Consider the following 24,505-nt stretch of genomic DNA (forward strand, 5'->3'; position numbering starts at 1 on the left):
CACTGTGTCGCCCAGGTTGAAGTACAGTGGCTCAATCTTGGCTCACTGCAACCTCCGCCTCCTGGGTTCAAGCGATTCTCCTGCCTCAGCCTCCCGAGTAGCTGGGGCTACAAGCACGTGCCACCACACCCGGCTCATTTTTTGTATTTTTAATAGAGATGGGGTTTCTCCGTGTTAGCCAGGATGGTCTCGATCTCCCAACCTCGTGATCCACCCACCCTGGCCTCCCAAGGTGCTGGGATTACAGGTGTGAGCCACCATGCCCGGCCAATATTTTTAATTGTTTAAGAAAAAGATCAGACGGTGGCTCATGCCTATAATCCCAGCAGTTTGGGAAGCAGAGGCAGGAGGATTGCTTGAGCCCAGGAGTGGGCTGGGACTAGCCTGGACAACGTGCTGAGACCCTGCCTCTACAAAAAGTAAATTAGCCAGGTGTGGTGGCACACACCCATAGTCCCAGCTACTCAAGAAGCTGAGGCAGGAGAATCTCCTGAGCCCAGGAAGTCAAGGCTGCATTGAGCTGTGATTGCTCCACTGCCCTCCAGCCTGGGTGACAGTGAGACTGTCTCAAAAAAAAAAAAAGATCAGACTAGCTGTAAAAGTAGGTAGCAAAGTGATGAATAGACAAGTCACAGAAAAATAAATGCAGATGATCCTTAAACACAGCTTCACACTTAAGAGAAATACAAACGAAAACTGTGCTGTGATTTCTCTTCTGTTGGGAGAAGATCCAAAAACTTGACAATACATTCTTTGGTGTGGCTGCGAAGAGTTGCATTCGTGTATTGCTGGTTAAAATGTAAGGTGGTTTGACTCCCTGAAGAGGAATTTGGCATAATCTCAAACATTGCAAATGCATTTAATCCAGAAATCCTACTTCAAGGAATTTATCCTGAAGGCATACCCCATAAATATGAAATAACATGTGCATAAGGTTTTGTTGCATTATTTTCAATAGCTAAATATTGGAAATAATATGTCTAGTAAGAAATTGGTAAAATAAACTGTTATATCCACACAGAGGAGAATTATGGAGCTGTTAAAAAAAAAAAAAACTCTCTTTACTGCTATGGAGTGATACCCAGATATCCAGGATATGTTACATGAAAAAAAACAAGGAGGAGAATGTACAGTAATGTATGAAATAATATGTATTTGCTTATTTAAAACAACAACACTGAAAGGAATTCTTGGTGGTGGTGTGTGACTGTTTTTCCCTTAATTTCAGAGGTAGCCAAAGTGCATATTTGCTGAAGATGTTATTTTGGTATGGGCTTTCCAATAAATGCTAACTGTTCACTTTTGCTTTTAATTTGTGAAAACTTTGTTTTATAATTTATTGTGCATTATGTGGTATATAGCAATTGCTTTTTTTTTTTTTTTTGAGATGGAGTCTAGTTCTGTTGCCCAGGCTGGAGTACAGTGGCACGAGCTCAGCTCACTGCAACCTCCACCTCCTGGGTTCCAGCAGTTCTAATGCCTCAGCCTCCTGAGTAGCTGGGACTACAGGCATGTGCCACCACGCCCAGCTAATTTTTATATTTTTAGTAGAGAAGGGGTTTCGCCATCTTGGCCAGGCTGGTCTTGAATTCCTGACCTCAGGTGATCTGCCCACCTCAGCCTCCCAAAATGCTGGGATTACAGGTGTGAGCTACTGCGCCCGGCTTATAGCAATTGCTCTTGCATTTCATTTTATTCTCACTATATTTTGAGTTAGGTAGTATAAGAATTATACTTGTTTTACATATGAGAAGACAGGCTTTGAGAGGTGTAAATTGAGTTTGCCAAGGTTTTTTAATTTGTTTTTTGTTTTTGAGATGGTCTTTCTCTGTTGCCGAGGCTGGAGTGCAGTGGTGTGATCATAGCTCACTGCAGCCTCCACTTCCTGGGCTCAAGTGATCCTCTTGCCTCAGCCTCCCAAGTAGCTGGGACTAAGAGTTTTCCAAGGTTTAAAAAGATAAGACTTGGTATGGTCAGGTGTGGTGGTGGCTCATGCCTGTACTACAGCACTTTGGGAGGCTGAGGTGGGTGGATCACGAGGTCAGGAGATGGAGACCATCCTGGCCAACATGGTGAAACCCCATCTCTAATAAAAATACAAAAATTAGTTGGGTGTGGTGGCACATGCCTGTAGTCCCAGCTGCCTGGGAGGCTGAAGCAGAAAAATCGCTTCAACTCAGGAGGCAGAGGTTGCAGTGAGCCGAGATCATGCCACTGCACTCCAGCCTGGGTGGTAGAGTGAGACTCCGTCTCAAAAAAAAAAAAAAAAAAAAAAGGCTTGGTAGATCAAGAATGTAAATTTCAGATATATGGCATATAGGATTAGAATTTATAGAATGACTCATGGGCTTCTTTGGATACTGCCTTTTTTCCACCTTTTTTTCAGTTAATTAAGCTTTAGAGTTAAAATAATAACATTGGATAATGAAAAATGAAATGGAGGTACTTGTAACCCAGACTTTTTTTTTTTTTTTCTTTTCTCTGTATGAGACAGGGTCACAACTCTGCCTGTCGCCCAGGCTGGAGCACAGTAGTGCCATTAGAGCTCACTGTAACCTCAAATCCCTGGGCTCAAGTTATCCTGCCACTTCAGCCTCCCAAATAGCTGGAACTACAGGCATGTGCCTCCACACCCAACTAATCTTTTAAAAAATTTTTGTAGAGATGGGGGTCTCACTATGTTATGTTGCCCAGGCTGGTCTTGAACTGTTCTCAAGTGATCCTTCTGCCTCAGCCTCCCAGAGTGCTGGGATTACAGGTGTGAGTCACTGCACTCCACCCAGAAATACTCTTAAAAGTCTAAAAAAGGAGTTAAGTGCTATTAAGAAATACACAAAGGGAGAAAGGTATACTATAGCATATGAAATGTCACAGCTCAGTCACGATCACTAAAACATAGATTGAGGCGTGAAGGTAAGTTAAAGCAAGACTGAACACTGACATAGAAGGAGGTAGAGCAGTGTTTCGGAAACCAGATTTAGGATTGTCAGAAGCTAGGAAAGCAAAAGCAAGGCATGAGTGAGCATGAGACTGGAGCTTGGCTGGTACTGTGTGACCTCAGATGAGGCAGGGCAGCTCAAGACCCATCAGGTAAGACTTACCTGATGGGTGGAACGTGTGAACTTAGATAAAATCTCAGCGTTTACATCATAGTTGAGAGGTTTGAAATGTTTGTGTTATGGACCGTAAGACTAATACAGTGTGCAGTATGGTAGAGCAGGTCAGTAAATGCAGTAAGCCTTTAAATAAACAGATGCCCAGCAGTTGGCCCAGAAACTGCCAATGTCTCCTGTTTAATTGGGATATATTGAAATCAATATGTTGAACTCAATCTCTTTCTCTGAAATATGCTGCTTCTGTCAGTTACTTTCTTGGTTGCTGCCCTCTCCCTTTAATATTTTGACAAGAAAAATAATTTCTTTACAGTTTACAATTGCATAATTTTAACACTTTTAGCCTTTAGTAATAATGCATTTCATTTATTCTAAGTTCCATATTTTTACATTTTTAATTAACATCTGTGAAATTGAGATGGCTGATAGATTCAAGGAGAAGCAGTGTTCAATGTCAGTGGATCTTACAGATTTCTTCCCCTGAGGGGGGTGTTTATATTAAGACCTGAGTTTAATTTTTTTTTGTCTTACTTGCCCCCCATCATACTATCATGCTTTCGAATTAAGTTGCAATTTAAATTGATAATACAAAACTGGTGGGTCTTAAAATACAATTTTATACATAACCCCTAACCATGATATCAAAAACTATTTCTTCTAGTTTCAAACATTCTTAGGAGTTTTTTGTTTTTTTTTTTTTTGTTTTGAGACAGAGTCTTGCTCTGTTGCCAGGCTGGAGTGCAGTGGCGCCATCTCGGCTCACTGCAACCTCTGCCTCCTGAGCTCAAGCAATTCTCCTGCCTCAGCCTCGGTGGCAGCTCCTGGCTGGCTAGCAGTGCTAGAGTACAGCCCTGCCTTTCTCCTTTGGTTCTTGGGAAGTCCCAAGAGAAATGTAATTGATTGGCCAGCTGTAAGTCACATGCCCACCCTAAAACCCCTGAGTTGAGGGAGTGCCAGCTTGTTACTTGGGCTTATTTGGCTTTTTTCTCTATATCTTATCATTTCTGTTATCCTAGTTGCCTTGGATTTTTTTTTTTTTTTTTGAGATGTAGTCTTGCTCTGTTGACCAGGCTGGGGGGCAGTGGTGTGATCTTGGTTCACTGCAACCTCTGCCTCCTGGGTTCAAGCGATTCTTCTGCTTCAGCCTCCCGAGTAGCTGGGACTAGAGGTGCACGCCATCACGCCTGGCTGATTTTTTTGTATTTTTAGTAGAGATGGGGTTTCACTGGGTTGGTCAGGCTGGTCTCGAACTCCTGACCTCATGATCTGCCAGCCTCAGCCTCCCAAAGTATTGGGATTACAGGCATGAGCCACCATGCCCAGCCGCCTTGGATATTTCTTATATTTACACAGTAGCACATCTTGGTTTTCTTATATTTAAATACATAGTAGCACATCTTGATTTGGGGCGGGGGAGGTGTGTGTGTGAAGCCTGCTCCTCTTTGATTTTGGTACTTAATTTTCCTGGACTTCATTGAAAATTCCTAATTAAACTTTATCATGACATAGGTACTGATTCATAATATGGCTTCTTCTGTAAACATTAGTTATTTTTTAGATTCAAATGGTAGTATATTTGCTTTCTTTTTGAAAGGAAGTAGTCATGAATCCTTTTAGAAGCTTTAGGTAGAGGCTGGGTGTGGTGGCTCACGCCTGTAATCCCAGAACTTTGGGAGGCCGAGGGGGGCAGATCACAAGGTCAGGAGTTTGAGACCAGCCTGGCCAGCATGGTGAAACCCAGTCCCTACTAAAAATACAAAAATTAGCCGGGCATGGTGATGCGTGCCTGTAGTCCCAGCTAGTTGGGAGGCTGAGGCAGGAGAATCACTTGAACCCGGGAGGTGGAGGTTGCAGTGAGCCAAGATTGCACCACAGCACTCCAGCCTGGGCGAAAGAGTGAGACTCTTCTCTCGGAAAAAAAAAAAAAGGAGCTTTAGGTAGAGGCAGCTGTGAAAGTCTCTGCCTGTCATTTTGTGCACAAATGATTTTATTTTTCCAAATAGCTTAAAATTGTCACGTCATCTTTTCAAGATGTGGAAAAACTTCAAACATAATTTTTGTGTGGGTCTTTTACATAAGAATAGTTTCCTCTAAAAGCAGTTTAAAAAAGTTGAGTGAAGGACTTTCCATGGAGAACAAAGCAGTTGGTTTAGGTATGTAAGTTTTTAGTGATCTGGCAGTACTATTAAAATGGATGATTCATAATTCATTTTAACCAGGAAGTCCCAAAATTATGTTCATATAAGATTCTAACCAAATTACTTGGAAGAGAGAAAAGGATTCTAGGTAGATAAATTTGTGAAATGCTGAGTTAGACAGTAATCACTACTAGACTGATTAGTTTTTAGTATATCAATGTGCGTTTTGATTTTGTAAGAGCCAGGGATAGAGTATATTGTCATTTGACCACTAAATCGCTTTTTTAAAAGTAGAGCAATTATATTAATATGTAGTTTTGGGAAATATCGCCTTAACTGTTACTCTGGATCTTGGCCCAGTTTCTTACAAGATTGGTTAAGATAAGTGGCTTGAAATGGACCTTGCTGGGCTGGGCGCGGTGACTCACCTCTATAATCCCAGCACCTTGGGAGGCTGAGGTGGGTGGATCACCTGGGGTCAGGAGTTTGAGACGAGCCTGGCCAACATGGTAAAACCCCGTCTCTACTAAAAATACAAAAATTAGCCGGCGTGGTGGCAGGCACCTGTAATCCCAGCTATTTGGGATACTGAGGCAGGAGAATTGCTTGAATCCTGGAGGCAGAGGTTGCAGTGAGCTGAGACCGTGCCACTGCACTCCAGCCTGGGCAATAGAGTGAGACTCCATCTCAAAAAAAAAAAAAAAAAAAAAGACCTTGCTGAAGAATATCATAGATTTTTATTTTTTCCCCTCGTGACAATTTTTATTATCCCATATTATGGCAAAGTTTGTTTCATGAAAATTCAAGAGTCTGTTTTGTAGTCTTGCCTAAATATATTATCCAACTTTGGTGCAAGGTGGACTACAGGCAGGTTTATCTTGACATAGATAGGGGCAAAATTTTTTAGAAACAGCCCTAAGATCTGCTTTAAAACGTACTCTTGATGAAACACCAAATTAACCATGCTGTTAGAAGGAAGAAGTGAGAAATTGAGGGCAAACGTTAATCATTTTCTAACATGTTTCTGTATGTTAGAACACAGAACTTCCATTCAGTCCTCTTAAATCTGCCATGATGAATGGCCCCCCAAAAAACCACAGCTAACTAAATTAGTTTACTTGTTGAATGGAGTTAGAATTAGCCGTTTAATTGTCTAAAGAACATTTGCCAAAAACAACTCTTTGTTTTACCATATTTGATGTATTGAGCTGGTGCCTGACAGTAACTGGCCACAGCATCACTTGCTACTTGAGATTGTTCTTGAAATGTGCTAGTAATAGCAGTAGAGAGGAGAGTGTGGTTATATTTCTATTTGATAAGTTGAAGGAGGAGGACATGCGTATGATTCATCTAACATTTGTACCAGATTATTTAGGCACAGATTTTTTATTAAAAGTCTCTGACACAGCCTGGTTTTTGTTCCACGTGTGTGGAGAGATTCTACAATTTTGCATTCCCCAGGAGTATTTTTGTATTGTCTTTATTTCCTTTATATTTATTACTAAAAACTTCTCTGAAGACTGTTAAAAGTGATTAAAATGGATGTGTATCTATTTCAGAAATCATCTTTTCTACTCACCTAAAGTGTCACGTCTTTTTCCTCCTCTTCTATAGATTTAGCTTTGGAGTCAAACCCTTCTGACCATCCAAGGGCAAGCACAATTTTCCTGAGCAAATCTCAAACGGATGGTAAGACAATACTGTTTTTTCCTTCCAAGGAAAAGACTGAAAACTGTTTCTATTTTATTGGATGTATTATAGAAGGTATTTAGAAGAACTGATGTATTAGTTTAAAATTTTCTTTTCATATGTTCACTGATTTTAATATGTGATATACTTTCCTTTAGTTGTGATTGTTTAGTAATAACATGTAGACCTATTTACAGGTTTTGCCACCTTTTTATAACACAATTAATTGGCCACATGATTTAGTAACATGGATTTTTTTTTTTTTTTTTGAGAGGCTGGAGTGCCTTTATTGCCCATGCTGGAGTGCAATGATGTGGCCTCAGCTCACTGCAGCCTCCATCTCCCACGTTCAAGCAATTCTCCTGCCTCAGCCTCCCAAGTAGCTAGGACTACAGGCATGAGCCACCATGTCCGGCTAATTTTTGTATTTTTAGTAGAGATGGGGTTTCACCATGTTGGCCAGGCTGGTCTCAAACTCCTGACCTCGTGATCTGCCCTCCTCAGCCTCCCAAAGTGCTGGGATTACAGGCGTGAGCCATCTGGCCAGTATCATGGATTTATGCATATTTCTCCATACTTCTTTGACCTCTTTCCCTTGCTCCAAAAGAGTACATTTTAAAGATGAATGATAGGATTTAAGCTGCAGCTTGGTTTCATTTGAACAACAACAAAAAATCAGTTCGTATACAGGGATTGAATCTGTGATTTTGGCTTCCTTTTATACAATGCTCTAACCACATGAGCCTATCACATTCAAATTTATGCTACTCAGAACTTTTAAGCTATTAACTTTTCCATCCTAATGTAGTGTAAATATAAACATGCCCCATGGTGTTTCCCAGAAGGTTAGCCTCAGCAAGTGAAACTTACGTACATTTTCCTTGTCCTGCTTGTTTTAGGATGAGAATCAGAACTGTTGTATTTTTCTGTACTCCTGTTTATCTTCCTTATAATTATGTTAAATCCTAATTTATTTGCTAAAAAGCTATATACAACCAGGTTTTTCATTTGATTTCAACAGCAAGAATACAAGAAGTGGGGGTTCTATAATACTTGAAGTAATGGAGCACAACACAAAGCAGGGGAGTTGTAAGCAGCATTTTCGAAGCTCGTGTGGACTTTGTCTTGAGCTGGTCATTTCTGGTTAGGATAGTTGTATTTCTCAGTTTCTTTCAGAGCCATAGGCTTCTCACACAGACAGAGTGTGGAAGCAGTAAAAGAAGAGCTATCCCATGCTCCTCTTTCTTCAGTGGTAAGGAGTGTGTGCTTGTGATACTTGTCTAGCATCAAAGGAAGAGGCAGTATAGGAAACAAAGCGTGGTCCAAGTCCCTCTTGGAGCTTTTATTCTTCTGGCCTTTGTTAAAATGATTTTATGTGCTGAATATACCATGTTCAATTAGGTTAACATTCATTTTAACATTTAAATTTAAGGAAGTTTACTTTCCACTTGTGTAAAGACCCGTTTATTTTTTCAGTAACATACTAGTAGATGACCAGTAAGTGGTTCAGGATGTTTGCAGTGATTGTGGTGCAGCTAGAGATTGGCACCTAGCCAGAAACTGGTTCTTAGAGCTGTCAGGTGTTAGATCTTGGTAATTAAAGTAAGCTACCTGTAAATGTAGAATTAAAAAATACTGCTGGATGATGGTTCAGATATGCAACAGGGAAACCTATTAGCTAAATTTCTCATTTAGCATAATTTGTTTTGCCCCTTTCTTTTTTATGTAGGGATTCTTTCATTTCCATGTAATAGAATATCTGTCAGTTCAAAAAGTAAAACTAAGTTTTTAGATTTTATTTTATGGGATTCATCTTGCCAGATGATTTAAATGATGAATTTTGTTGGAAATTATTTTTTAAATGGAATTTTATCTCATTTTGTATATTGTTAATCAGATGATTAGCAACTACTTTTATACTGTGGCATTTGTATCAGAATTGATCAGCTAATTTTTTTTATTCTTAGTGCGAGAAAAGAGGAAGAGCAACCATTTGAACCATGTAAGTAAACAGTTGGAAAGCTAAGAAATTAACAGTTGAATTAAAAGTATGTCTGTCATGATTCCATAAAAATATAATGGGGACCCAATACTGTTAGTATGAGCCTCTTTTTGTGGATTTTCTAAATCATTTCTATTTTGCTGAGAATCAGATTTATGCAGGAAAGTCTTTGACTTAGTGTACCCAATTGTTAAGGGTTTCTGACATTTAAGTTAAATTTCAATAGTTTGGTTGTGGTATAAATATCTGCCTTAAATATTTTTGCCTAAAGTTTTTAATCTTTTTAAAAATCAAGTAACAAAATTATAATAGCTAAGTTCATTTTTAGCACTATATGTTGACTTCCTGTCATAACAAGTGAAAACTTAGCTTCCTCACTCCACCGTGACCTTATTTTCTTCCCTCTATTTCTCCCATATATATCACATTTTTAATTAAATCAGTAATTGATGTTTACATTGTTATGATTATACAGATATTATTCACTGCTGAGTCATATATTATTCTCACTGTCTTCTCCTTGTACATCCTTTGTTTCTCTTAAATATTTCTGAAATCTGGGCGTGTCTGCACGTCTCTTCCTAGCCTCCACTAGCTCACACAGCCAAATGCAGTAGTAACCCTTGGCTGGTCTCCTTGCTTTCATGTCTTTTTTTTTGTGTGTGTGGAATTAATTTCCTGACTATATTCATTTGGCTGTTTTCTAACAGCTATTTTTCCCCCCAAATGTTGTAGCATTTGCCACATGCCTATCAAAAATGTTTTCCATCTACTAAAACACATCTGTTCCATTTTTCTCTTGGAGACAGCTTTCCTCAGCCTTTTGTCATCCTCTTCAAATATAGACGGGTTTTTCCTAAGACTGTTCTGTGCCTGTTTTCCTGGGATATCTCTCTGAAGTCATCTGGGATCTCACATAACTGTCCTTTTGTGTTGGGTCCCCTAAATCCTAGATTCTGTGTTTCCCTCTATCTTGTTATCCTTCCTAGTTTTACCGGAGTACATTTTCCTGGGAAAGGGCCCATAGACAGACATATTTAGAGATCTAGCCTGTCTGAAAACCTCCCCTATTTCTTTCTCTCTCTCTCTTTTTTTTTTTTTTTTGAGACAAAGTCTTGCTCTTGTCCCCCAGGCTGGAGTGCAGTGGTGCGATCTCAGCTCACTGCAACCTCTGCCTCCCGGGTTCAAGCGATTCTCCTGTGTCAGCCTCCCAAGTAGCTGGTATTACAGGCGCCTGCCACCACGCCCAGCTAATTTTTGTATTTTTAATAGAGACGGGGTTTCACCATGTTGGCCAGGCTGGTCTCGAACTCCTGACCTCAGGTGATCTGCCCGCCTTGGCCTCCCAAAGTGGGGATTACAGGCATGAGCCACTGCACCTGGCCTTTTTTTTTTTTTTTCTTTTTTTCTCTTTTTTGAGACAGGGTCTCACTCTGTTGCCCAAGCTGGAGGGCAGTGGTGTGGTCTTGGCTTACTGCATCCTTAACCTACTGGGCTCAAGTGATCCTCCCATCTCAGCCTTCCGAGTAACTGGGACTACAGGCATGTGCCACTATGTCCAGCTAATTTTTGTATTTTTCATAGAGATGGGGTTTTGCCCTGTTGCTCAGGCTGGTCTCAAACTCCTGGCCTCAAGCCATCCACCTGCATCAGCCTTTCAAAGTGTTGGGGTTACAGGTGTGAGCCACTGCACCTAGCCAAAGCTTCCTATTTCATAAGAGTATAAAATGCTAGGTTCACTCTAAATTTCATAGTTCTGAAGACATTTCTCTATTATGTTCTCATTATAGTATTCTTGAATCTGTTGCCATTGTGTGATACAGTTCATGTAACCAGTTTTTACATGTCTCCGGAAGCTTTTTAGTGCCTTCTGTATCCCTGAGATCCTGAAATTGCTTAATATGGCTTGCTATGGACCTTTTCTTTTTTCCTTTTTTTTGAGACGGAGTCTTGCTCTGTTGCCAGGCTTGAGTGCAGTGGCGTGATCTCAGCTCACTGCAATCCCCACCTCCCAAGTTCAAGCAATTCTCCTGCCTTAGCCTCCCAAGTAGCTGGGACTACAGGGGCGTGCCACCAAGCCTGACTAATTTTTTTGTATTTTTAGTAAAGAAGGGATTTTACCATGTTGGCCAGGATGGTCTTGATCTCCTGACCTTGTGATCTGCCCGCCTCGGCGTCCCAAAGTGTTGGGATTACAGGCATGAGCCACCGCACCCGGCCTAGACCTTTTCTTTTTATTGGGACCAATAAGTCTGTAGACTATGTCTTCTAGAGAATTTTGTTTTCTTTGTTCCTTCTTTTTCCTGATATTCTTACTATTCAGATGCTGAGCTTATTAGACCAGTGTTTCTGCATTGATCTTTACTTGTCTCCGCCCCCCCCCGCCCCCACCCCACCCCCCCCACCCCCCCGCACTCTCCCATTTTCTAGTTAGTCTTTTGTTCTACTTCTTGGGCATTCTTTTACTTTATGCTCTAACCATTCTATTGAATCTTTCATCTTTTTGAAGGTATTTTAAGAATTTTTTTAAGTTTTCATTTGCTCCTGAATTTTCACCACTCCCATGCATTCCTTTTTCCTATTGTTTTGCTCTCTCTTGTTGGAGGCTTCCCTCACGTGTGATAGTCTCTGGCTTTCTCTAATTGGAAGCAGGACTTTTGTTAACTGATGATTCTTACTGCAAGGACATTGGAGGCCAAGCTAGCCTTTAATTTAGAAGACCTCAGTCTGTTATCTGGTGGGTCTTGTCTTGTCTTTTCTCTCTTCTTTTTTATCTCCTTTCCTTTCCTTTCCTCCTTCCTTTCCCCTTTCCTTTCTCCTGTCCTATCCTTTCCTTTGCTTTTCTTTCTGAGAGAGTCTCATTCTGTCATCCATACTGGAGTGCAGTGGCGTGATCTCAGCGCCCTCTGCCAAGATGCAACCTCTTCCTCCCGAGTTCAAGTGATTCTTGTGCCTCGGTCTCTTGAGTGGCTGAGATTACAGGTGTGTGCCACCACGCCTGGCTAATTTTTTTTTTTTTAGTAGAGACAGGGTTTTGCCGTATTAGCCAAGCTGGTCTCGAGCTCCTGGCCTCAAGTTCACCCACCTCAGCCTCCCAAAGTGCTGGGATTACAGGTGTGAGTCACTGTGCCCTGCTGGATGCGTCTTTTCTGAGACTGTTCAGTTTCTTCAGAGAAGAATCTCCCAATTTTCTACCTGGGGAGTACAAGCATGGCTGCTCATTTTCCAGAAGCAGAGTTGGAAAAGGGAGGTGGAGTTCCACTTCTCAGTGTGTAGTTTTTTTTCCCATTTCCCAGATTTCAGTCCTACTATTTCTGAGCCCAGAACCTTCTATATTCCTTATAAGATGGGAGGACAGGTGGACCTGGGACTCCAACTACATATTTTCAGCCGACCTTGCTGGCTTTTGTTTTGTGTTTCACTCTACCTTCCAAGGTGCCATGTGCCTCTGAGTTTGAAGTCTGCCTTGGGTTCTGTAAGACAAACTAACTTGATCCTGTTCCAGTCACTCTCTGTAGGCACTAAAGTTGTGCTTCCATATCAGTTACCACTCCTTTGTCTTTTTCATCTTTCAAGATTTATTAAAAGTCATCTGCTGTGGCCGGGTGCGGTGGCTCACGCCTGTAATCTCAGCACTTTGGGAGGCTGAGGCGGGAGGATCACTTGAGGTCAGGAGTTCCAGACCAGCCTTGCCAACATGTTGAAACTCCGTTTCTACTAAAAATATAAAAATTAGCCGGGTGTGGTGGTGCACACCTGTAATCCCAGCTGCTCGGGAGGCTGAGGCAGGAGAATTGCTTGAACCTGGGAGGTGGAAGCTGCAGTGAGCCAAGATTGCACCACTGCACTCCAGCCTGGGCAACAGAGCAAGACTCTGTTTAAAAAATAAATAAATAAATTTATAAACTCTGTCTCAAAAATAAAATAAAACAAATGGAAATATTATCTGCTGTCAATCCTGTTGCCTGCTCCTGTGTATAACCTTTATTTTATGTCTTTAATTCTAATGAAATTTCAGGAGGGCAAGGAAATAAATTTATGGTCAATCTGCCATGTTTAACCCAAATTTAGAACCTTTATTTAAAGTGTAAATCTAAGTTTAAATTCAACATAATGATACTAATCCAGACATTTTTTAGTTATAATAAGCATATTATACTCTTCTAGTAAGGCCTTAGGAATTGTATTCAAACTCTGCATCCTGCTATATTGCCCCATTACTGTGCAACATAGATGGAGGTGTTTCATTAATGCACAAAATGTCAGAAATTTTTAAGTTAATTAAAAGTCATTAATTCTTTTTTTTTTTTGAGACGGATTCTGTAGTAGCATTTACCTCTTATTTTAAATGGGTTAAAATTAGAGGCAGTAGGCACAATGGGAAAAGTCAGTGGATAGGCATAGGAGTTCAACAGGTACTTTACCTTTAAGGTTTCAGTTGTGACTCAGTAGATTACTAAGTATGATTATTTTCTATCTTTGCTATTCTCCCTTAAGTCTACTCAGTACCCCTTCCCTTTCTTGTTAAAGATTGTCATTTGTGCAGACTAAATGAAGATGAATGATATATTCTTTGTCCCTATTTTGTGACTACCTGAAATGACATCTGTGAACTTTCAGTAGTGTTTTGTTGTTTGGATTTTTTTTAAGTATTTATATTTTATATTATTATGTTTGTCAATAGAGTTTGTTGAGGTTGTAAGTCAGCTTTGGTAAGGCTTTAGCCTAAAATAAAGGAAATTGTTGAGTTTTCCAGCAACATGATGGGGGAATTACCTGTTGCCAGCTATAATTGCTTTGCTCAGAAGCTTAATTCTGCCACCCCCTAGTCTCAAGAGATATAGTGATACTCTTGATAACAAAAAATTTGGATAGTTGAAAGTTAGTGGTGTGTCTCATGCTATATATTGATTAGCAGAGAGGTTTCTTCTTTTTTTTTTTTTTTTTTTTTGAGACCAAGTCTCGCTCTGTCACCCAGGCTGGAGTGCAGTGGTGCAATCTTGGCTCACTACAACCTCCGCCTCCCAGGTTCAAGTGATTCTCTTGCCTCGGCCTCCCGAGTAGTTGGGATTATGGGAGCCCACCACCACGCTTGGCTAATTTTTGTATTTTTAGTAGAGATAGGGTTTCTCCATGTTGGCCTGGCTGGTCTCGAACTCCTGACCTCAGGTGATCCACCCGCCTTGGCCTTCCAAAGTGCTGGAATTACAGGTGTGAGCCACCGTGCCCAGCCCCACCTTCCACTTTGAATGAATGTATTTGAATGAGTCAGTTTTTATTTTTTATACTGTATGTGTTTCTTGAGACAATAAAAGTATATACATTAGCACACATACACAGTTAATGTAAACTATATACATTAAATATAATAGCTTAAGAAACATGAGTTTAGATATAGTTGAAAACATTTCTAGGTTGAAGGAGAATTTGGTCCTTCAAATAGTAATACTTTTTAAAAATAGAATATCTGGGACTTTTTGTTAGTAAGAATTAAGTGACTGCAGTAAAAACATCTGAAACAAAATGCTGTTACACTGTATGGATATTTCTGATTATTGGCTACTGGCGATTTTTTAATGCATGCATTTTTAAAAGCAATGACTAGACCTTCTCCCTGCCCTGTCTTTCATGTATATGTGTGGGATACTGATGGGAGAGTGTGACAACATGGTAAAAACTATCATATTAATAGGAAGAAGGAAGGCTCATCTGAATTAGTTTTTTTTTTAAGTGTTAAAATTATTAGTATTCTGTGGTTTTAAAAAAAAATGCTACTGTTACTTTCAGCTATTCAATGACTGGGATTTGGTTACTGACCTTCTTAACATAGTTCAGGCTGTTTCAGTATTTGACTGTTGCACTCTTCCCAAATAAATGGATACTTCTAAAGTGTTTTAAAGATGGTTTATTTTCTAGAGGGCTCAAAAAGTTCATAGTCACCTCCTTGATACAAATGCAGATAAATTCTGCTAATTTGTGTGTAGTAGCATTTACCTTCCAAATTGTAACTGATTTAAATAATTTGTCAAACACTTGTTGAACTCCTTAATTTGTCCCCAATTCTGTGCTCAGCAGCCAGAGGTATGAGGAGGAAGAGTCCTTCCTTCCCTGGAGAAGCTTACTTTCTTGTGAGGGGTTACTCCACAAGCAGTTGGTATCATGTAACAAGTGGTGAATTAGATGGATGAATGTACCAAAAGGGAAATGTTTTTTGGTGTGGCTGCGGGCAAAGGGATCCCAGAAGGCAGATGGGGTCAGGCTTATCGGGATAAGGAGGAAGAACAAGGTATTCCAGGCAGAGCAGCATGAGTGAGTCAGGCAAGTGCCATGATGCCTGTCAAATAACTTATAGAATAAAATTAATAACATTTTGAAATGGAGAGTGTTCTCTGAGGTTCTCATTTGAATAATGTAATGGCAGTTTTATTTAAATATGAAGTGCAAGTTAAATTCCTAAAGTTGTTTTTGTCATCTTTTTTGTTTGGAATATTAAAGTGATACTTTTTCTTCTCCACATAAGAAAACAGGCCCTTTCACTGAGGGTGATGGAGCAGCCCTGGCAGACGAAGCCTCTGACTGTGAAACACTTGTTTCTCATACTGTCTCCTGAACTAATACGTTTAATATTAGTAACTTAGTAAATGTAGTATTAGGCTTTCATTTACTTCAATAAAATGCTCTTATGCAAATATGATTTAAGGCATTACATTTTACTGTAGTGAAGGAATAATAGAAAATCTCAGCTGCTTTTTATTGCTTAAGAAAAAACACTGAAATCTTATTGTAAACTTTTCCCATTAATTTATACAGGGAATGCATAACAGATGCTTGCCAGGTTTGATTATAGGTACCACAAGAGCAGCATTTCATAACCCATTCCTCAAACACTGTCTGTGGGAGAGCCTCCACTGGGTTTCCCATAGAGCTGCACATGATACTACACTCAGGCAGTTCATGGAGTGTAAGAAATATCTTAATGCTTTATCATTTGACATTTTAACCAAGGAAAAACCACACTTTTATAGGTTTAACTTACTGTGACATTTTCTTCTATTTCCCTTCCCCTTCAGGTATCTCCAGGGCAGCTTACTAAAAAGTATAGCTCATGCTCAACAATATTTCTAGATGACAGCACAGTCAGCCAGCCTAATCTTAGAACCACAGTAAAATGGTGAGTACAACTAGGCTGCCAAGGGCTGAGTGACAGACCCCCTTATGCTAAAAGCATCCTAGCCATCCTCGGTAATTTCAGCCATTTGATTGTCCTTTTCAGCAATGAGTTTAAGAAATCGGTGTCAACTATATATTGATTTCAAGGATCTAAATATGAATTTTAATTTCCTGTTTTAATCTTAGGCTGCATGGTGGAAGGGAAAGCCAGTTAGTGAAGAAGCAATCCCAGAAAAGTGTAGCTATTTATTTAATGCATTTATGTTAAGACAGTGTCGAACATAATGTGAGAAGGAGAGGTGCTTTTTATTGGATGTTTCTGGAAAAACGTTAGTTTGTTATGAGTTACAGGTCTCAAACAATGTGTACTGCTTTGCAAACTACTCTTGGAAGAAGGAACAGCTTGTCCTCTACTGGCACCATAGTGTATCTGCATTTACATTTTCCCTGTCGTGCATGAGCACCTCTTGGGCACAATCTGAGATGCACTTTCAGAACACCCTAAGATGAACTTTTCAAGTTTATTTAAAAACCAACAACAACAGCAAACAACTCCATTGGGGTTGTCAGGAAACTATTAACATCTCCTTGGATTATGAGCGTTGATTTTCAGAACACCGTTGGGAAGTGCTACACTAGAATATTAATGTCCTTATCCCTAATTTTACTTTTTAGTCTAAAAACATAACTAGCTTATAAACTTAATTTTGTTTCTAATGTACTAGCTTTTTTTTTTAGTTAATTCAATTGTCAGTAACTTCTACTTTAAAAGCAGCAAATTTACACTCATAATAATGTCACTTTCCTCTCTCACTTAAAACAATAGTTGAAATCAAATTGTGTTTCAGCACAAACTGGACTCTGACTCTGTCTAAAGTCCTGAGCTTTGGCACCTACTGAGTAATCATTCAATGTTTGTATTCAGCCAAGGTCCTAAATCCTTGAGTTAAAAAACCACTCCACTTTGGCTAGAGTCCCTGGCTTCTTTTGAATTCAAAAGATTCTGATGTTTCTATAAGATTCAAAGTAGTTTTAAAGATTAACCTTGCTCAAACAAGTATAATAGATTTCATGCTTTTTTCCCCCCATTTTAGTCTTAATTTTTAGATGTCTACTTTTGGAAGTACAGTAAGTTTTAATTTGTTCTCAGTAAGTTTTAGAAATGATCATTTGGTATATTTCACTACTGGTTAAATAAAGGTTTCACAAGTATGGCAAATTGACTTTTAGGAAAGATTTTGAAAAATGTTTATCATGGCTTACTAGTGCGTTATTCTCATAGGTTGGGTGAGCCATATCAGAATCACTTACGCAACTTTTTTCAAAATATATGTCCACAAACAAATTCATCTCACCTCCACCTTCCCTTGATCTCTAGGCAGTCACAAGCCTTTTAGGAAAATGGAGAAGGCATGTGAGGCATAATTACACAGACAAGCACATCCCAGATGATTCTGGTCTTAACCCTAACTCAGTCATTCCCAAAATTTGCAGCACATTGGAATCATCACCAGGGGAACTTTAAAAACAACCCTCAGGCTGGGCGTGGTGACTGACACCTGTAATCCTAGCACTTTGGGAGGCCAAGGCGGGTAGATTGCCTGAGCTCAGGAGTTTGAGACCAGCCTGGGCAACACGGTGAAACCCCATTTCTAGTAAAATACAAAAAAATTAGCCAAGCGTGGTGGCGTGCACCTGTAATCCCAGCTACTTGGGAGGCTGAGACAGAATAGCTTGAATCCGGGAAGCGGAGGTTGCAGTGAGCCGAGATTGTGCCATTTTACTCCAGCCTGGGCGACAGAGCAAGACTCTGTCTCAAAAAAAAAACAAAACAAAACACACAAAAAGACAACAAAAAACACTCCTCATGCCCCAAGTCATACCCGATGCCAATTAAATCAGAATGTCTCAAGTTGGAAGTTAGGCAGTTTTTAAAGCTCCTCAGGTGATTGCAGTGTGCAGAAAGTTTGAGAACCACTGCTTAATTGAATGTAGGAGGATGAACTGCTTCTATTTGGTGGGACCTTGGGCAAGTCAGTTTTAAGCCTTGGTTCCCATATCTGTAAACTGGGTGTTGGATTAAATGTCATGTAAGGTTCCGTGGTCCTTTTCAGCATATAACTTCAAATTCTGTAATGTTAAAATCAATTTGGACATGAAAATGTTTGAAGCACTATAGAAGTATCCATCTTAGATGCTAATGTTACAGACTTTTTAAAAAAGTGCTAACATTGTATGGACTTAAAATTCAGATTTGCCTTCCCTCAATTATTTTGAGCCTCAGTTTAGAGACTGAGGGCAAATGGAAGCATATAACTTACCTAAGACAACTCCTTGTTTCCTGATACACAACATCTGTGGGTAATTTAGGAATACAGTAACATATATCTGAAAAGTCGTGTCTGTTCACTAATATTTTACTTAAACCAATGTGGAAATACTTGCCATTAATATTACACTTTGTAGTTTTATGCTGCATTGTTAGCACTGCTTATTTCAGGATAGCTACACCTATCATTGGTTTTGTGTGCACTTATTTACTAATAAATTTTCTACTAATGATGCAAAATTGATCATAAATGATTTTATTTGGTATAAAACACTTTTATTTACTTTAAGGGGAAATAATGAAAGATGGGTGGGTAGGTGATAGTTAATTAAATCAACTGAAATGCAGAGCCTAACAGCTTAAAAAGCAAAAAATAAAAATAACCAAAAAACCAAATAGTTTAAATTTAAGCATGTATACAAATAGGTAGAACTTGTATAAAATGAAAGGTTCTATGGGCAGAAGAGCAAATGGGGATATATGTAATTATTTATATATTATAATAGTCCACAGAAACATGTATTTTAACAGCATATTACTGGGTTTTTTTTTTTTTTTGAGACGGAGTCTCGCTCTGTCGCCCAGGCTGGAGTGCAGTGGCACGATCTCGGCTCACTGCAAGCTCTGCCTCCCGGGTTCACGCCATTCTCTTGCCTCAGCCTCCTGAGTAGCTGGGAATACAGGCGCCTGCTACCACGCCCGGCTAATTTTTTGTATTTTTAGTAGAGACGGGGTTTCACCGTGTTAGCCAGGATGGTCTCGATCTCCTGACCTCGTGATCCACCTGCCTCGGCCTCCCAAAGTGCTGGGATTACAGGCGTGAGCCACTGCGCCCGGCCTTACTTAGCATTTTGGTTCGTGTATTTTTGCTGAAAGGAACTAAAACAAGGGGAAAGTACCCATATGGTACTGTTCTGAACTAGAGGATTTCAGGGCCGCTAGGAGGGTTCCTCCCTTCCCTCATTTAAAAAATGTCTTCAGGCCTAACAAATGTTTAAATCAGTTGTTAAAAATAATTTTTTTTTCCCTTCACAGTGTGACCTTAGCAATATATTACCACATAAAGAACAGGTGAGCTCCTTTAAAACCTGTCTTGTTATTCCAGCTAATTACTTTGCATGATATCAAGTTCAGTATTAGGTCATAACTATAGACATCATAAGCTATAGATTGCTATTACAGTATTGAACTGAATCATTTGTGGTTTTTCTGGTCCCCAAGATGGTTTCAATTATTAAATTACTGAGGATCCCAAAGAGTATTTGTTTATGTTGGTTATATTGATATTTATTGCATTAGAAATTGAAGTTGAGAATTTAAAAAAAAAAACCCTATATTTAGTTTCAGTTTCTCAACGTTGGCACTGTTGATATTTTGAGCTACATAAGTCTTTGTTGTGGGGACTGTCCTGTGTATTGTAGGATATTTAACAGCTGTCCCAGGTTGTGACAACAAAAATATAACCCCTGACTGAGAATCATATTGTTAACATAAATAATATTTTTTCATGAAAAATAACTCTCTTCTACAACAACGAAGTTGAGTAAAATGTGTCATGTATTTATATATATACAACTCTCTAGTGTCCAGCTTAACAGAAAACAGCTGGATTCTCATCTCTGTCTTTGCAATTAGTTTTTTTTTTTAATTTCAACTTTTATTTTAGATACAGTGAGTACATGTGTAGGTGTATTACGTGGCTAATAGTGCACCCTGGTAGTGAGCTGTAATTTGTTTTGAAGAAGTGATAAGAAGATGACCTAGCCTCACGCAAATATATAGTTGGTAAAAGGTATATTTTTAAAGCTTTCAGATGGTTGTGGGTATTCTTTATTTTTTAGTTTATTTTTATTTGGTTTTTTTTGAGACGGAGTCTTGTCTGTTGCCCAGGCTGGAGTGCAGTGGCACGATCTCGGCTCACTGCAACCTCCACTTCCCAAGTTCAAGCGATTCTCCTGCCTCGGGCTCCCGAGTAGGTGGGGTTACAGGCGCATGCCACCACGCCTGGCTAATTTTTGTATTTTTAGTAGAGATGGAGTTTTGCCATGTTGACCAGGCTGGTCTTGAACTCCCGACCTCAGGTGATCCACCCGCCTCAGCCTCCCAAAGTGCTGGGATTACAGGCATGAGCCACCATACCCGGCCAGTATTCTTTAATACTACCCAACACTCCACAAGTGCTAGTTTCTTAAAATGGTTACAGTGGAATTTTGTGTTATCAATGAATTTTTTATTAGTACTCACCCATCTGTCTTGTACAATATATGTATCATTTCCCCTTACTTGGTTTTCTAATATTATGCATTGGTTATATGGAAAATATTGGTTCACATCTCTTCTTTCTTTTTTTTTTCTTTTTTTTGAGACAGAGTCTCATTCCATCACCCAGGCTGGAGTGCAGTGGTGCAGTCTCAGCTCACTGCAACCTCCGCCTCCCGGGTTCAAGCGATTCTCCTGTCTCAACCTCCCAAGTAGCTGAGATTACAAATACATACCACCATACCAGCTAATTTTTTGTATTTTTAGTAGAGACAGTGTTTCACCATGTTGCCCAGGCTGGTCTTGAATTCCTGAGCTCAAGCAATCCGCACACCTCAGCCTCCCAAAGTGCTAGGATTACAGGCGTGAGCCACCATACCCAGCCTGGTTCACATTTCTTGACAGTGGCAAAGCTCACTTTTGTTAGTATCACCACCAATTGTATTAAAAAATCTTTAAGTATTGAGAAGCTGTTAAACTCACATAATAAGGTACAAGTTTCTCCAAATCCTGATTTTTAGTTTGAAAGCTTGAATTTTATCATTGCAACAAATAGTGTTATTTTCTTGAAGTGACAGGCTTCATTTTTTTAAAACTTTTTATTTATTTATCTTTTGAGACTGAGTCTCACTCTGTTGCCCAGGCTGGAGGGCACTGGTGCCATCTTCGCTCACTGTAACCTCTGCCTTCCGGGTTCAAGTGATTCTCCTGCCTCAGCCTCCTGAGTAGCCGGGACTGCGGGCGCCTGTCACCATGCCTGGCTAATTTTTGTATTAGTAGAGATGGGGTTTCACCCTGTTGGCCAGGCTGGTCTCGAACTCCTGACCTCAAGTGATCCACCCGCCTCAGCCTCCCAAGGTGCTGGGATTATAGGCATGAGCCACCACACCTGGCCACTTCTTTCATTTTTGAGAATGACATTTGTACTTTCAAGTAAAAATGATATTCTGTGAAAAAAAAATGGCTTGTTTAGCTCACAATTAAATCACAAGTGCTTTTCCTTAACACAACTCTACCTCGGTATGCAGAATTACTTTATGTGAACTTTCTGCTTACTCCAGAATAGTGAAAAGAAAGGTCAAGATTTAATAATACCATTAATTTTTACTGCTTCAGCAAGGATATTCATGAGTGAAGCAGGTGTTTTTCTTAAACTGCAAGAGGCAGTAAAGAGTAGCATAACTTCTAGTATAATTTGGTAGCACTGCCTTGATTCATGCTGAGAAGCCAGCAGTTTGCCCACTTTTGCTGTTATACACTCATTACAAATGTCATACAGTCAAAAAGCAAGCAATACCTTAGTATTCTTTTTTTTTAAATTATTTTTATTTCTAAATTTTCAATCAGCTTTCTCAGGTTGAATAAGTATTCTTAAAAGAACAGTTTTGACCTCAAGGACCTCTTGGAAAAGGATCTAGAGGGTCTCCAGAAGTCCACAGACCACACTTGGAGAACCACTGGTTTTATTAAATGAGCACAATGTATTAGTTTTATAAACTTGTAAAGATTATCAAAGCCTTGTCTCTTTTAAAATAAAAAGACAATAAGGTTTTTAACTCATCAAACTACTTAAACAAATACATGTCAAGAATGTAATACGGAGAACTAGAAAGGAAAAGCCTGGGAAATCTGAATTTCATTCACAGTCATTAAAGTTCTAAAGAGTTTATTGCCCACCACTACTGCTGTGTAAAACGTTCTTGAGTTCCAATGAGGGGTTAGAAGAGTGAAAATATACTTTATTACCATTGCCTGTTAGGGAGGGCCAATACTTAAAGGCAATTCTGAATCGTCATTGTAGAAAAGACCTCACAGTACAGAACCTCATATGCTGAGTAAAAAGAGGTCAGGAAATCCTCTGAAGGCTGGCATCCCGGAGAAGAATTTGTACAACTCTTTGCTTTGGTGAAGCAAACACCAAAGCAAACAGGAGGCATCTCCCGCCACCCCCAGCAGACATTTTACTCAGATATTAACAATTCCTGAATTAACTTCTTCAATGCATATTCTTATTTTATAGAGATGCAAATAGATCCCTGGATATTTTTGATGAGAGATCACATCCACTTACAGTAAGTGTCACTTTTTTTGAGGTAGTATTTTTCTCTCATAGAGTTGTGTTTATTTCATGCTGATATTTATAAATAGTCCTAACAAATATACATGATCTCTATGAAGATAATTAGAAAACAATTTAAATTTAAATCAATTAAAATGGTGTAAACATTTAAAAATTCACTTCCTCAGGTATATGATAGCCGCTCGTGGCTAATGACTATTGTCTTGGACAGTGAAGCCTTTGAGCCTTATGGTTACAGGAAACTAAAGATATTTTTTCAGGCCGGGCACGGTGGCTCATGCCTGTAATCTCAGCACTTTGGGAGGCCGAGGCAGGCGGATCACGAGGTCAGGAGATCAAGACCATCCTGGCTAACACAGTGAAACCCCGTCTCTACTAAAAATACAAAAAATTAGCCGGGCACGGTGGCAGGCGCCTGTAGTCCCAGCTACTTGGGAGGCTGAGGCAGGAGAATGGCGTGAACGTGGAAGGCGGAGCTTGCAGTGAGCCAAGATCGCTCCACTGCACTCCAGCCTGGGCGACAGTGAGACTCCATCTCAAAAAAAAAAAATTTTTCAAAGTGTATTTAAGAGAATCCTAACATATGATTAGTAAGACTTTCGAGCCTACAAGTAGTTTACATTTTGATAGAATTCTGTGGATAGAAAGTGGAAAGGAACATAAAAATTTTCTGAGTTGTGCCTGTATTTTTCCTTAATGATAAATGGTGATGAGTATTGAATCACTATGATATTTTAAGATCCAATTGTTTATATTTTAAAAACTAAAAGTCATGTCACTCAACCAGAATTATTTTAAGGGGTACATGGGCTCAAACGTCAACACTGCTGGTCTTAGGAGTACTTAGGCCAGCTGGGCATGGTGGCTCACCCCTGTAATCCCAGCTCTTTGGGAGGCCGAGGTGGGCAGATCATGAGGTCAGGAGTTTGAGACCAGCCTGGCCAGCATGGTGAAACCCTGCCTCTGTTAAAAATACAAAAAATTAGCCGGACATGTTGGTGCACGCCTGTAATCCCAGCTACTCAGGAGGCTGAGGCAGGAGAATCACTTGAACCTGGGAGGTGGAGGTTGCAGTGAGCCGAGATTGTGCCACTGCATTCCAGCCTGGGCGACAGAGCAAGACTGGGTCTCAAAAAAAAAAAAAAAAGTACTTAGGCCGGGCGTGGTGTCTCACGCGTGTAATCCCAGCACTTTGGGAGGCCAAGGCAGGTGGATTGCCTGAGGTCAGGAGTTTGAGACCAGCCTGACCAACATGTTGAAACCCCGTCTCTACTAAAAATACAAAAACTAGCTGGGCGTGGTGGCGGGTGCCTGTAATCCTAGCTACTCAGGAGGCTGAGGCAGGAGAATCACTTAAACCCGGGGGGTAGAGGTTGCAGTGAGCCAAGATCATGCCATTGCACTCCAGCCTGGGCAGTAAGAGTGAAACTCAGTCTCAAAAAAAAAAAAAAAAAGCTTAAAATTTTTTTCTTCAGTGGATACTAACATTGCATCTTTTCTTCTTTCAGCGAGAAAAAGTTCCAGAGGAATACTTTAAGCATGATCCTGAGCACAAATTTATTTACAGATTTGTTCGTACTCTTTTTAGTGCTGCACAGCTAACAGCTGAATGTGCAATAGTAACTTTGGTAAGATATTTCTCATTTATAAAGTGTCTTTAGAAATTAGTCTTGTACACAGGGTATGGTCCTATTTTTCAAATAAAAATAGGTTCCTGAAATTATC

General features: G+C 39.8%; 1 protein-coding gene across 3 annotated transcripts in view; it reads left to right on the forward strand.

Moving 5' to 3' along the window:
• The window catches only part of CCNYL1 (cyclin Y like 1), a 44,535-nt gene that overhangs the window by 6,295 nt on the left and 13,735 nt on the right, over nt 1-24,505 (forward strand). For 2 of the 3 annotated variants that reach the window (NM_001330218.2, NM_152523.3), the window contains 6 exons: nt 6,866-6,940; nt 8,908-8,942; nt 16,013-16,113; nt 19,477-19,512; nt 22,721-22,772; nt 24,289-24,408. In NM_001330218.2, the coding sequence (NP_001317147.1) occupies nt 6,866-6,940; nt 8,908-8,942; nt 16,013-16,113; nt 19,477-19,512; nt 22,721-22,772; nt 24,289-24,408 (419 nt within the window). The remainder of the gene's footprint in view (nt 1-6,865; nt 6,941-8,907; nt 8,943-16,012; nt 16,114-19,476; nt 19,513-22,720; nt 22,773-24,288; nt 24,409-24,505) is intronic. The other variant, NM_001142300.2, reaches the window with a different exon arrangement.

Source organism: Homo sapiens, chromosome 2 (assembly GCF_000001405.40).
Source record: "Homo sapiens chromosome 2, GRCh38.p14 Primary Assembly".
Classification (NCBI taxonomy): domain Eukaryota; kingdom Metazoa; phylum Chordata; class Mammalia; order Primates; family Hominidae; genus Homo; species Homo sapiens.